This window comes from Homo sapiens, chromosome 12, assembly GCF_000001405.40.
Source record: "Homo sapiens chromosome 12, GRCh38.p14 Primary Assembly".
NCBI classification, from domain to species: domain Eukaryota; kingdom Metazoa; phylum Chordata; class Mammalia; order Primates; family Hominidae; genus Homo; species Homo sapiens.
Genome location: NC_000012.12, coordinates 119,755,116 through 119,769,359, shown reverse-complemented (window position 1 = coordinate 119,769,359; position 14,244 = coordinate 119,755,116). Strand labels below are relative to the sequence as shown.

Sequence of the window (14,244 nt, the reverse complement as noted above, 5' to 3'; positions counted from 1 at the left end):
TACCTGTTTAAAAAATGACAACAACAACAAAAAATGCCAAACTACCAAGGAGTCAGATTTTTAGAATATCTGCTCTTCCTAAGGTTCACTTACAATTAAAATGGAGGAGTAGAGAGTTCTGCATTCTTGGATTATGTGTTATAAACTCCCATTCACAAATAGACCAGAAATTTGGTCTTAAAGTTGTCAGTCTCAGATACCTGAGTTTTTTGATCTAATCTTAGATTCTGATTTCCATTCCTGTGCTATCTTATGAAGACCGAAACTGGAAAAAAAAAAAAAAAGGATGATTATCAAATGATTTCTAACATAAAGGAAAAATAAGCGGATTTCTTCGTCCGAGTGTATCTTGCCACCCGCCGGAGTACCTTTGTGGTTGTGACTTCATTTATTAGAAGGTGCCTTTTGCTCAAGAACCCTGTGCTTAGGCTGCAAAGTATCTAGGAGGTGGGCAAAGAGTGGTCCTTAGTACCATTATGTAATGATGATGCCTGAACATACATCGCCAAATGTCATTGGCTTTAAAATATTTGCTATTCTGATAAGAACTTTCAAAACAGATAATGGTACAGTCAGTACAGTAGAGTCCTTGGCCTTAGTAAAAGAAGTTACTGCAAGAGATCGTTTAGCCAAGTACATATAGAACCTTTTAAAATATGTTTTTATTAATCCTGTTTATTTTCAACTCTTCAAGATCACATCTATTGAATTGCAGTAGATCTTGTGCACCTGGTCTTAAGATTGAACTTTAATTGCCCTCAGAGCAAAGCCAATGCTTGGAGACTTTAGAATATCAAAAGCTTAATCACTAACATTTTAAGTGTGTGTGAATCTCAAAGTACTTTTTCACCTCCATTTTATGAACATATCCTATATAATTTCCTCATTCTTCAAAACCCTCATAATTGCTTCCACTTCAAAGAAAAATTTCATAATAGTATAAAGAGTTGAAAACTTGGAGTAATGACTTGATATTAGTAATTAACTGATGGGTCCAGATTCATAAGAATTAATATAGATGCAGCTGTGCATTTACAGAATGTTTTAGTGAATTGAATGCTGCCTTTTGTAAGGTCAGTTTATAAAACATTGGCAAATGAACTGCAATTTTCAAGTGAATTACAGTTTTGTTTAAAAGCTAGAAACTTGGTCAGGCATGGTGGCTCGTGCCTGTAATCCCAGCACTTTGGGAGGCTGAGGCGGGTGGATCACCTGAGGTCAGGAGTTTGAAACCAGCCTGACCGACATGGTGAAACCTCGCCTCTACTAAAAATACAAAAATTAGCCGGGCATGGTGGCGCATGCCTATAATCCCAGCTACTTGGGAGACTGAGACATGAGAATTGCTTGAACCTGGGAGGTGAAAGTTGCAGTGAGCCAAGATCGCGCCAGTGCACTCTAGCCTGGGCAACAAGAGTGAAAATCCGTCTAAAAAAAAAAAAAAAAAGCTGGAAACTTAACAATAAAAGAATTAAGAGAACATTAAATGTAGGCTATTTATATTACTCCAGATTCTCTTCTAATCTTTAATATGTCTGTACATTTTTATGTCATTATTATCAGTGTATTATATGTTTGTCTTTGTCCCCATTTGCATTGTATCATATGAACATTATATCACATGCACATCTACAGATAGTCACATATGCCACTTACCAGTCAGTTAAAATCATCATTCAAAACTTGAAGTGCTTGGATCATAACATTAGTTTTCCTTTTTAGCTAGGGTTCTTGAGCAATAATTCTGTTAATGAGGAAAATACAAAGTATTTTTAAAAATCATAATCATATATTAAAATGACTTTTCTCATTTAAGGCTCAAGATAGTGGTCAGGGCTTTGTCATGTACTAAACTTTCCAGTGTTGCCTTGTTACTCTTATTTCTCTATGCAAAGATGAAGAGCTGCCTTTGTTCGACCTGTCATACTGACGTATTTGTGGTCTCAGGCCTTACAGCCCACCAGCTATGTGTGTATGTGTGTGCGAATACTTGGACTTGGAAAACCCAGGGCCAAGGCGTGGTGGTTTCCTTCCCAAGAGCCTTAGGCTAGTAATGGAGGACCAGATGACCGTTACCTGTGGTACCTGTACCAAAGTCATGTTTCCTGTGAATGTCTAACGTGCATTGGCGGTGTCCTGCCCTCTGCACACCTGACTGTCTTTTCTTTTGTGTCTAGGAGCTCGAAGAGAAACATCGGGAGGCCCAAGTCTCAGCCCAGCACCTAGAAGTGCACCTGAAACAGAAAGAGCAGCACTATGAGGAAAAGATTAAAGTAAAGACATTTTCTGATCTTCCCTGGCCTTGCTCCTATAGTACCATGTAGCTCCCATCTCTTCCTGGGCCCTTGTGGCCATTTCTTGCTGGACCAAAGTACTGTTTGGGGTGAATAATGTCCTTATTCCATGGTGAGAGATTTCAGGGTGTTACTTATGTGAAGGATTGGAAATCTGAAGTTCCAAAAAAAAAACCTTTTTTTTTTTTTAAATGTGGTCATCATTTATCTCAATTTCATCTTTAAACTGATTTTTTAAACTCATTGTCATTTAATCCATGATCATTTCTATAATCCTTTTTCTTTTTTAATTTTTGTGGGTACATAGTAGGTGTATATATTTATGGGGTACATGAGATGTTTTGATACAGACATGCAATATGAAATAAGCACATCATAGAGAATGGGGTGTCCATCCCCTCAAACATTTATCCTTTGAGTTACAAATAATCTAATTACATTCTTTAAGTTATTTTAAAATACACAATTAAGTTACTATTGACTGTAGTCATCCTACTGTACTCTCAAATACTAGGTCTTGTTCATTCTATTTTTTTGCAGCCATTAACCATCCCTACCTTCCCTACAACCCCTTCTACGCTTCCCAACCTCTGTTAACCATCCTTCTATACTCTATGTCCATGAGTTTAATTAAGTTGATTTTTAGATCCCACAAATAAGTGAGAATATGTGATGTTTGTCCTTCTGTGCCTGGCTGATTTCAGTTAATATGATGATCTCCAATTCCATCCATGTTGTTGCAAATGACTGGATCCCATTCCATTTTATGGTTGAATAGTACTCCATTGTTGTATCTGTACCACATTTTCTTTCTTTTTTTTTTCCCTTCAACTTTTAAGTTCTGGGGTACATGTGCAGGATGTGCAGGTTTGTTACATAGGTAAACGACGTGTGCCATGGTGATTGGCTGCACAGATCAACCAATCACCTAGGTCTTAAGCCCAGCATGCATTAGCTATTCTTGCTGTCTTCCTGATGCTCTCCCCACCCCACCCCCGCTGACAGGGTTTGTGTTGTTCCCTGCCATGTGTCCGTATACCACATTTTCTTTATCCATTCATCCGCTGATGGACACTTGGGTCATTTCCAAATCTTAGCTATTGTAAATAGTACTGCAGCAAACATGGGAGTGCAGATATCTCTTTGATATACTGATTTCCTTTTCTTTCCTTTCCAGCAGTGGGATTGCTGGATCATGTGACAGCTCGATTTTTCTTTGGCTTTTTCTTTACAATTTTACTTTGCCTTTAATTTTTCTGAGGCTTACTGTATTGTGTCTAAATGTGGATTTCTTGGCTAGGTGTGGTGGCTCATGCATATAATCCTAGCACTTTGGGAGGCCGAGATGGGTGAATCACTTGAGTCTAGGAATTCAAGACTAGCCTAGGCAACTTGACGAGACCCCTGGCTCTACAAAAAATACAAAAATTAGCTGGGTGTGGTGGCACGCACCTGTTGTCTCAGCTACTCAGGAGGCTGGGATGGGAGAATTGCTTGAACCTGGGAGGCGGAGGTTGCAGTGAGCCGAGATTGCACCACTTCACTCCAGCCTGGGTGACAGAGAGAGACCCTGTCTCAAAAAAAAAAAAAAAAAAAGTCTGTTTCTTTTTACTTATCTTATTCTGCTTAAGATTTACTGGGCTAAATATATATATATGTTATATAATATATATTATAATATATATTATATTATATATAATATATATATATTTAGAGACATGGTCTTGCTCAGCACAGTAGGCTCAAGTGATCTTCCCTCCTCAGCCACCCAAGTAGCTGGGACTATAGGCACATGACACCATACCTGGCTATTTAAAAAATGTTTTTTGTAGAGATGGGGTCTCCCGGGCTTTTGAGTAGATTCATATCTTTTTATTTATTCTAGAAAGTTAGTGGTCATTATATCTCAAATATTGTCTCTTCCCCCTTCTCTCTTTTCCTTTTAAGAATTTGATTGGGGCTGGGTGCGGTGGTTCACGCCTGTAATCCCAGCACTTGGGTGGCAGAGGCGGGTGGATCACCTGAGGTCAGGAGTTCAAGACCAGCCTGGCCAACATGGTGAAACCCCGCCTCTACTAAAAATACAAAAAAATTAGCCAGGCGTGGTGGCGTGCACCTGTAGTCCCAGCTACTTGGGAGGCTGAGACACGAGAATCTCTTGAACCCAGTGAGCAGAGGTTGCAGTGAGCCAAGATTTCACCACTGCACTCCAGCCTAGGTGACAGAGTGAGACTCTGTCTCAAAAAAGAAAAAAATAAAAAAGAATTTGATTGGGCATCAGTTAGATCAGCTCCAATTTAGCCTTTTTAAATATTTTCTATTTCTTTGTTTCTTTGTGCTACATTTTGGGTAGTTTCTTCTGACATATTTCCCAATTTGCAAATTCTTTCTTAGCTGTGTCTAATCTGCTGTTCCATTGAGGTTTTTTCTTTTCTTTCTTTCTTTTTTTTTTTTTTTTGAGACAGGATCTCACTCTGTCACCCAGGCTGGAGTGCACTGGTGCAAGTCATAGCTCATTGCAACCTGGGCTTAAGCAATCCTCCTACCTCAGCCTCCTGAGTAGCTGGGACTATAGGTGCATGCCACCACGCCTGGGTAATTTTTAAATTTTCTGTTGAGTTTTAATTTCGGTTGTTATATTTTTTACTTCTAGACATTCTATTTGGGTCATTCCCAAGTTTGCTAGATTATTTAAGACAATCATCTTCTGTTCTGTGCATTCATTTTCAAGCCTAACTTTTCTTTCTTTAAATGTACTGAGCATAGTTATTTTATCATCTGTACCTGACAACTCCACTATGTGAAGTATTTGAAGGTCTGCTTCTGCTCTGTTGTTTCTCTTGGTTCTTTGTCATGGTGACTGTTTTATTTTCCTTGGAGAATTATTAATGGAAATTCTTTGAGGCCTTGGATGAAATGTGTGCCCACCTTGGTGGGTGGTCGGGGGCTTTCATTTCTGCCTTTTCTTGACCACTGAGGCTATAAAAACTGAAACTTAAGTTAATTTGTTTCAGTAAAATATCTCAGGTTAAACCCTTCTTACCTCTCCCTGCTTCTGTTTTACTTAGTTTTTGGCAATTTCTTACTCTCTTGCCAACTTGTAGGTGCTTTTGGGAAAATGTTTTTTATATTTTATCTAGCATTTTAAATCATTTTCAAGAGAAGGGCTGGCCTGACATGTAGCCCACTATGCTATTAGAAATGGCTGCCGCTCTATCAATTTCCTTTAAAATCACATCCCATTTTCATGATGATTTGGATCAAGCCTTTAATTCATTCTTATGTTCTTGAGAATCAGATGCTGTTTATTATATCTTGAATATTGTCGCTTCCCTTTTCCAACCAGACATTGAAGGGGGATTTCAATTTTTGTGATGATCTTGTTATTGATTTGGTTGGTATTCTCAAAGAATTGAGTGGTCCTTTCTTGGAGAATCTAACACGTACATGCTCACACAGCATCATCACCATCACCACCCTGGCATCTTTTACCGCTGGCGTTATTTTTGGTTGTTTTTCAGTAAAAGAAATATAGGAGGCCAGGCACAGTGGTTCACATCTGTAATTTCAGCACTTTGTGGGGCTAAGGTGGGCAGATCGCTTGAGTCCAGGGATTCGAGACCAGTCTGTGTAACAAAGTGAGACGCCCTTCTCATCTTGTCTACAAAAAATACAAAAATTAGCCAGGCAGGTGGCACACATCTGTAGTCCCAGCTGCTTGGGAGCCTGAGGTGGGAGGATCGCTTGTGATCAGGAGGTTGAGGCTGCAGTGAGCCACCTTTGCATGATGAAAGTAACCTTTTGTGAAACATATTCTATGATTTGGTGATATATTGATGTTCCTACCAAAAGCCATATTCTATCTTAAATTGATTTAGATGTCTTTAGTGGAATCTCTTATTTCAAATAAACATTTTGCTCCCCTTCTTCCCCATATATCTTGTTTATCTTTCTGCCAGTTGAACCCTATGAAAGCTAAGAGAGATCCGTATGTTCTTTTATTTATCTGTTTATTGTTTTGAGACAGGTTCTTGCTCCATCACCCAGGGTAGAATGTGGTAGTGTGATCATAGCTCAATGAGGCTTCGAACTCCTGGGCTCAAGCAATCCTCCCATCTTATCCTCCTGAGTAGCTGGGATTACAGGTGTACAACACCATGCCCAGCTAATTACTATTTTTTATACTTTTTGTGGAAATGGGGTCTTGCTATGTTGCCCAGGCTGGTCTCAAACTTCTGTCCCCAAGCGATCTCCACCCGTGTCAGCCTCCCAAAGTGCTGGGGTTAGAGGCATGAGCCACCATGCCTGGCCTAGTGCATACGTTCTTGATAGAGGCTTATCCCTTCTAGCTCATACTTACCTCTTATTGGTATCCTTCTTGACCAAAGTTGAGGTCTTATTTTGAGCAGAGGCATCCTGAAAATGTATTTCATTGCTTTAGCACCTCATAAAATATAAAGGGCATATGTGGTCTAGATATTATGTGGTCTCTGCTAACTTCTAGATGGAAAGAAATTTGTTTTATAGATCCCAAGGAATGTCAGGGAAAGATCTGTCTTTCTTCCCTACTGGAATCTTTATGAAACCATTTCTTTTTAGCCTGTTCTGCTTTGTGTTTCCTGTTCCAGCCTCTGTCAGGCCATTTTAGTAATAATTATGATCATACCCTCGATTCTACCCTGTTCTTGCTCATAATTTTAGAATCATGCTCAGACATCCAAGAGAGTGGGCCATTTCTCATCCTTTTGAGCTTCTTCCTTTCTCTCATGACCCTGTTCCCACCTTTTGGTCTTCTCTTCCAACTTCCATTCTATTTTTTTTCATCAGTCAGTTCTAGTTTAAAGACCTCTTTGAAATCTGTTCTTTCCTTTCTTTCTCCTGTGGACTCCCTCCCCGCTGACTGGCTCTTTTTAGGGACGTCGTCCCCATGAGCTGTGACAGTCCTTTCACAATAGACATTGTTGGAAAGGCAGATTTTAGCCCTCTCTGTGACCCCAGCTCTTTCAGCTTTATTCCCAGGATCCTGTTGTCCTCCTTGATGTTGTTGGTGTTCTTTGGAAAAGTCGAATGGAGCCTCTGTGGTGAGGAACGTAGGGTTGTGGTCAAAGGCTTGGGCATGTTCTGATGTCGTCTTCTTTTTTCCTTCCTTTTTGCTTGTTGTTTTGGCAACTCGTAGGGCTGTGTGTGCCCCAAAGAACATTAGATCAAGTTGGCGATTGGTGATACCATTACTGTTTTATGTTTCCTCTTGGGAACAGTAGGTGCTTACAGTGGCATTCTGAGCACTGAGAACACATGATCTCTCTTCCCCTGGGAAAGGTTTCTTTTCCCAGTGACTTTTTTTTCTCCCCCTAGTTGGATCAGAGGAAAGAACCAGGGAAAGAGGCATTTTTTTCTTTCTTTTATGTTGTCTTTTTAATCTGTTGACCATCCACCTACGTTATTGGTGGCCAAAAGCCTCTTGTCCCTGGTTGTTTCTGAGCATCATCCTTGGTCACATAGACTTCCCCTGTCTTCGGCTTCTCTCCCTCTTGCACACAGCCCAGGAGTATCTAGAATTAATCTGTATAAATTAGGAGTGAGGAATATTCTGAAAACTACGGGTGCACTGGCGAAGAAAAAGTTGTCCCCAGGTAATATCTGCAGATTATAAGAAATTTATTCTCTAGGTCTGGATCTAGAGCAATCTTGTTTCCTCCTCCCTTCTCATTCTGGAGTCTGCCTCATTTTGAATATATCTCTCTGGTCTTTGGGCTGCTGATTTTAAAATAAGTTCTTGGTTCAAGTCAACCTGTTACTTGCCATTGGATGGTAATATTTGACTTTTCAATCTTATCCTGATTGATAAGCGGACTCCCAGTTTTTGCCTTCTCTTTGCCCCAGAATTTGGAGACCTCGGGCCTCTCCCCTGCTTTTCTCCTCTTTCCTAGATTTTCTCAAGTGTCCCCGTTTAGTCTTCCCTCCTCAGCTTGGCTCCTGAGAACATTTGCTGCTGCTTTTGTTTTTGTAGGTGTTGGACAATCAGATAAAGAAAGACCTGGCTGACAAGGAGACACTGGAGAACATGATGCAGAGACACGAGGAGGAGGCCCATGAGAAGGGCAAAATTCTCAGCGAACAGAAGGCGGTAGGTAGAAGGAGTTGCCAAGCCAGTGTTCAAAGGAGGGTTTTTGAAATATGCCAAGAATCACCCCTGATAAGACTCTATTTCACCTGGTGAAATTCCTTCTGTTGAATCCTGTGGAGTTGTTGGTAATAGGAGGCTTTCTCTGAAACTGTTTCCTTTCCTAAAAGCAACTGAGGTGGTGGCTCTGGATGGCCAGTTTTGTGTTTTTCAAGAACTCATGCTGTTCTGCTGTCTGCTAAAATACTGTCCTTCTAAATGCCCCTGACAAAATGTCCAGTGGCTCTTGGTCTTCCTGCTCTTTTTTTTTTTTTTGAGGTGGGGTTTTGCTCTGAAGCCCAGGCTGCAATGTGGTGGTGCAATCATGGCTCACTGCAGCCTCCAACTCCTGGGCTCAAGTGATCCTTCCACCTCAGCCTCCCAAGTAACTGAGACTACAGGTGCATGCCCCCATGCTTACCTAATTTTTAAGTTTTCTGTAGAGACGAGATCTTGCTATGTTGCCCAGGCTGGTCTCAAACTTCTGGCCTCAAGCAATCCTCCCATCTTGGTCTCTCAAAGTGCTGGGATTACAGGCCACCACTCCTGGCCCTACACTTCTCTTCTTTTTACTTGCCTGTTTGTCTCTTTTCTAATCCACATAGGCAGTTGTTTCAGAAACTTGTTGCCCCTAAGGTTTACCTGTGGTGCTTATTTATCTGCACTCCACCAAGACTTACCATATCAGAATCTCTCTCTTTTTTTTTTTTTTTTTTGAGATGGAATCTCACTCTGTCACCCAGGCTGGAGTTTAGTGGCATGATTTCAGCTCACTGCAACCTCCGCCTCCCAGGTTCAAGTAATTTTCCTGCCTCAGCCTCCCGAGTAGCTGGAATTAAAGGCATGTGCCACCGTGCCCGGCTAATTTTTGTATTTTTAGTAGAGACAGGGTTTCACTATGTTGGCCAGGCCAGTCTCAAACTCTTGACCTCAAGTGATCTGCCCACCTCGGCCTCCCAAAGTGCTGGGATTACAGGTACGAGCCACCGCGCCCGACCCCACATCAGGATCTCTGAGGGGAGATCCTGGGAAATTAAATTTTTAGTTAGTACCCCCACACCCCAATTCTTATGATTTTTTAAGTTGGGGAAACTTTGCTGTAGAGAAGCTGTCCCCAACCTTTTTAGCACCAGGGACCGGTTTTGTGGAAGACAATTTTTCCACAGGGGTGGGGGGATGGTTTTGAGATAAAACCGTACCACCTCAGACTATCAGGCATTAAGGCATTAGATTTTTTTGTTGTTTTGTTTTGTTTTTGAGACGGAGTCTTGCTCTGTCACACAGGCTGGAGTGCAGTGGCGCAATATCGGCTCACTGCAACCTCTACCTCCCGAGTTCAAGTGACTCTCCTGCCTCAGCCTCCCGAGTAGCTGGGATTATAGTCATGTGCCACTGCACCTGGCTAATTTTTGTATTTTTAGTAAAGACAGCATTTCTCCATGTTGGCCAGGCTGGTCTGGAATTCCTGACCTCAGGTGACCCACCTGCCTTGGCCTCCCAAAGTGTTGGGATTACAGGCTAAGCCGCCGCGCCCGGCTGGCGGCATTCGATTCTCATTAGGAGCACGCAACCTCGATCCCTCGCTTGCGCAGGTCATGATTGGGTTCACACTCTGAGGAGAATCTAATGCCACTGATCCCACAGGAGGTAGAGCTCAGGCAGTAATGCTCGCTCGCTGGCCGCTCACCTCCTGCTGTGCGGCCTGGTTCATAACAGGTGGCAGACCGGTAATGGGGTACTGCTCTGTGGCCCTGGGGTTGGAGACCCCTGCTGTGGAGTCTAGAGCAATGGTGGCTGGGTGAGAAGGAATCACTCAGAAAATGACAACCCTCGAGGAGGTGGTGATAAATGCGAATGTGCAGATTTGAGTTAAGAGACTTGCAGGCCCAGGTCACATGTAGATGAGATGGGGTTTAACAAGGCCTGATTACTCCCAGGATGTTAGGTTCTTGAATAGGTCCTTATGTCTGTTTTAAATGCAAGCCACTTAGCCAGTGTGGGGAGATTTCATCACTGAAAAAACAACCAAGTACCATCCATTTGAGTGGTACCATCTGTGATCCTCAGAGTACAGACTAGTTGAGTGCCTTGTTACCTCTAGCCAAATTGCCGTCATTTCAGATGAAACTTTTACCCTGGCCCGCACTGCCCCTGTTACTCCTGTTCTGGTGTGTGAAGTTTCATAGGTGCCCTGTGTTTCAGATGATCAATGCTATGGATTCCAAGATCAGATCCCTGGAACAGAGGATTGTGGAACTGTCTGAAGCCAATAAACTTGCAGCAAATAGCAGTCTTTTTACCCAAAGGAACATGTAAGTATTCAAATTCTAACTGCCCTACATTATTACACTTTGGTCTCCTCTCCTGTGGCATAAACTCCCTTCTTCTGTTTGATGGAGCTGGAGTGGATTGAATGACTTCTGTAGCTCAGCCCAGCCCTCAGATACTTACGTCATCTTGCCCTGTCTTAAGTGGTCTCACTCTGCCACTTTTGAGTCGGGTTTTCTTAAATGCCTTCAATTACCATCACATTACAGAGTGTTTTGCTCTCTCTAATGAGGCTATTTATAATTTGCTTGTGGAAAGCTGCAGTTCTTGTTCCCTAGACTTGCATCCTGTAATTAGTAAGAGGTGAAATTGTGTGTGCCCAGTTGGGCCATCCATTTAGTTGTCACTAGGTTAGACCCTATGGAAGGAAGTTTGGGGTTCAGCAAGGGCTGTGTTCCAGGAGCACTTTGAGCTGAATCTTTTCCCCCAGAGAATTAGAATCTCCAGGATTTTTTTCCCCCTTAGGTTTCTCTCTTCAGAGATCTCCCAAAACAGTCCCATCTTAATCTAAACCAGCTTAGTAGGCTGTGTTTTGGGTCTTTGAGTCGTTCTAGGTTTTGATACTTCTAAGCAGTTTGCTGGAGAGGTGAGGGAGATCTGCAGAGAACTAGAAGGAATACCATTCTTTCTCCTTAGTCCTTTTTCTCCAGGGCCTGCCTTCATGAGTTACTGGGGTGCCCTTGTACATTAATCTAAGGAGGCCCCCTTCTGTCCCTACACAGACTCACAGAAGAAATAAACAGGCCTGTCAAAGGAGTGAAATGTTAGTATCTCTTGCATCCTCCTGGACCTTACTTAATCCCATATGTGAGGGACTGACACTGAGTGGTGATGAGTAAATGGTCCCCACGTTCGTCATGCCGGGATCATGCTTATGAGGCCAGATCAGGAGACAGCTAACCCAGGAATGGCCCTAGTCCACTTAGTGAGGAGACATGTCTAACTCCGTGTCCGTCTACCTCCCGTGGAAACGGGCTCAACCCTAATGAGACTGTGATTTTGTTTGGATCCTCCCACCACCCCCACCAGGAAGGCCCAAGAAGAGATGATTTCTGAACTCAGGCAACAGAAATTTTACCTGGAGACACAGGCTGGGAAGTTGGAGGCCCAGAACCGAAAACTGGAGGAGCAGCTGGAGAAGATCAGCCACCAAGACCACAGTGACAAGAATCGGCTGCTGGAACTGGAGACAAGATTGCGGGAGGTGAGAGCGAGGAGTCATCTCCTGGGAGGATTTGCTGGGCGATTCGGGCTCTGAACAAGTCAGCTTTCGAGCACAAATCAATATCTATACAAGAGACATTGTGCTTGGTGGTTAAGGGGGCAGACTTGAGGCAGGAGAAAAGGGTCTGGAGGCAAGGAACCTAAGGCCAATTCATGCTGAATCAAGGAAAAACACCAAGGTTTATGGCAGGGAATCTGAGGCCCTTGTGCTAACCTCTTTTTTTTTTTTTTTTAAGAGAGTCTTGCTCTGTTGTCCAGGCTGGAGTGCAGTGGTGCGATCTTGGTTCACTGCAGCCTCCGCCTCCTGGGTTCAAGTGATTCTCGTGCCTCAGCTTCTCGAGTAGCTGGGACTACAGGCGCCTGGCACCACACCCAGCCAATTTTTGTAGAGACAGGGTTTTGCCATGTTGACCAGACTGGTCTTGAACTTCTGACCTCAAGTGATCCACCCGCCTCAGCTTCCCAAAGTGCTGGGGTTACAGGCGTGAGCCACCATGCCTGGCCAATTTGTGCTAGCTTTCTAAAAGAGAAAACACCAGGTTCTGTGGGCAGGGAACCTAAAGCCCATTCCTGCTGACTTCCCAGAGCTGGATCGAAAGGAAAACACGTGGGGCTGGAGGCAGGGAACCTGAGGCCAATTAACACAAACTTCCTAAAGCTGAACCAAAAGGAAAATCCTCATCTTCCCACGCCCCAGTAGTGAAAGATGGAACAGGCTACTCTCCCTGCAATGCTCCAAAAGATGGAAGACTACTCTCCCTGCAACCCCCTCCCCCCACCTTCCACCATTGCTCAGATGGAAAGGAAGAGCACCTTGGATGGGCCGCGGGCCAAGGAGGGACTATCCCTTCATCTGCATAGGGCACCAGTTCGCCTCAGCCTGTAATTAGCCACAGACCGAATCCTTTATTCAGATAAGGAGTAACCAATAGGAACCCCAAAAGGAGTACTTAAAACCCAGAAAACTTTGTAACTGGGCCCTTGAGCCACTTGCTGGGGCCACTCCCACCCTGTGGAGTGCGTTCTTGCTTTAATAGATCCCTGCTTTCGCTGCTTCGTTCCTGTGTTTCGTTCCTTTGTTACTTTGTGCGTTTTGTCCAATTCTTTGTTCAAAATAGACAACTTAGACCCCAGGCCCTCCTTCTGGTAACAGACTGGGCCATGGGGATCTGGGTTAGAATTCCACCTCCACTCCTTACTGGTTTTATGACCTCTTACTAGTTTTGCAAGCTGCCTCATCTCTCTGCTGGGCTTCAGTTTCTTCATCTGTAAAATGTCAGTGATAATGTATCTCCTTTATAGGGTCCTGTGGGGAGCGTGTCAATTTGTGCATCTGTCAAATGGGAGCAGAGCAATTCCTCCTTTATCAAGATGTAATGACAGCCCCGTGACCTAGTCAGAGCTTAGCCATGGTGGCCCAGTGCTGGTGGCAGAGGTCTGTCTCATAATGACGGTGGGAGATTAAAAGACAAAACCAAATTTAGGTGTGATTGATGAAAGGTAGCTCTCTTCAAAAACATAAGGAGGCTGGGAAGAGTGGCCAGGTTTTGGGGAGGAAAATACAACAAATTGGGTTGTAGACATGTTGAGGTTGATTGAAGCCATAAGGTTACATTTATGTAGTCACTGTATATTTGTCAGATGTCTGCTGTGTGCCAATTTGTAGCCTGGGTCTACAGTGGCGACAAGACAGACCTGTTCCTGACACGAGGGCTTTTAGCCTAGCAGCAGGGTTCGCTGGCACCAGCAGAGACACAACTGGAGTTCAGGATAGTGGTTGTTGGAAGCTGAACACCCAGGCTGGGAGGGAAGATACAATGTCTCATGTAAAATAGTTGCTCAAATATTTGTGATGGAATTCTTCAAAAAGCAGATGATCTTTCTTAAGGAAGGTCCTGTTAAGCAGACAGCGGTCTGAGGTCTAAGCCTTGGGTAGTACTCATGTTTATGCATGTCTTTATTTGTCTTGGAGTATTAAAATGAAGTCAGTTCTCCAAGGGACAGTAACAATGTGTTATCTCATGTTTTTTAGGGGTTGTCAAGGTGTGAACTCCTCCATTAGGTTCACCTGGAGTGTCTGGTTTTATTTTCATTTTTTCTAGCAATGGGGTCTTGCTATGTTGCCCAGGCTGGTCTTGAGCTCCTGGCTTTATTTATTTATTTATTTTTCTTTTATTATTTCTTAGGTCAGGATTTCTCAGAAGGAGGACGTCTGGCTTTAAGCAGTCCTCCCTC

At 43.2% G+C, this 14,244-nt stretch overlaps 1 protein-coding gene across 15 annotated transcripts in view, besides 1 other annotated feature; it reads left to right on the top strand.

Annotated features, from left to right (window-relative positions):
• Positions 1-14,244, top strand: part of CIT (citron rho-interacting serine/threonine kinase) — a 191,530-nt gene that overhangs the window by 107,961 nt on the left and 69,325 nt on the right. For all 15 annotated transcript variants that reach the window (XM_011537788.2, XM_011537787.2, XM_047428134.1 and 12 more), the window contains 4 exons: positions 2,178-2,273; positions 8,305-8,421; positions 10,660-10,769; positions 11,815-11,989. In XM_011537788.2, the coding sequence (XP_011536090.1) occupies positions 2,178-2,273; positions 8,305-8,421; positions 10,660-10,769; positions 11,815-11,989 (498 nt within the window). The remainder of the gene's footprint in view (positions 1-2,177; positions 2,274-8,304; positions 8,422-10,659; positions 10,770-11,814; positions 11,990-14,244) is intronic.
• Positions 9,175-9,361: a silencer, noted in NCBI's record as "fragment chr12:120197803-120197989 (GRCh37/hg19 assembly coordinates)". NCBI's record gives its function as "represses an EF-1alpha promoter that drives an FKBP-Casp9 reporter gene in an ReSE screen in K562 erythroleukemia cells {active_cell/tissue: K562}" and the evidence as "EXISTENCE:reporter gene assay evidence [ECO:0000049][PMID:32094911]".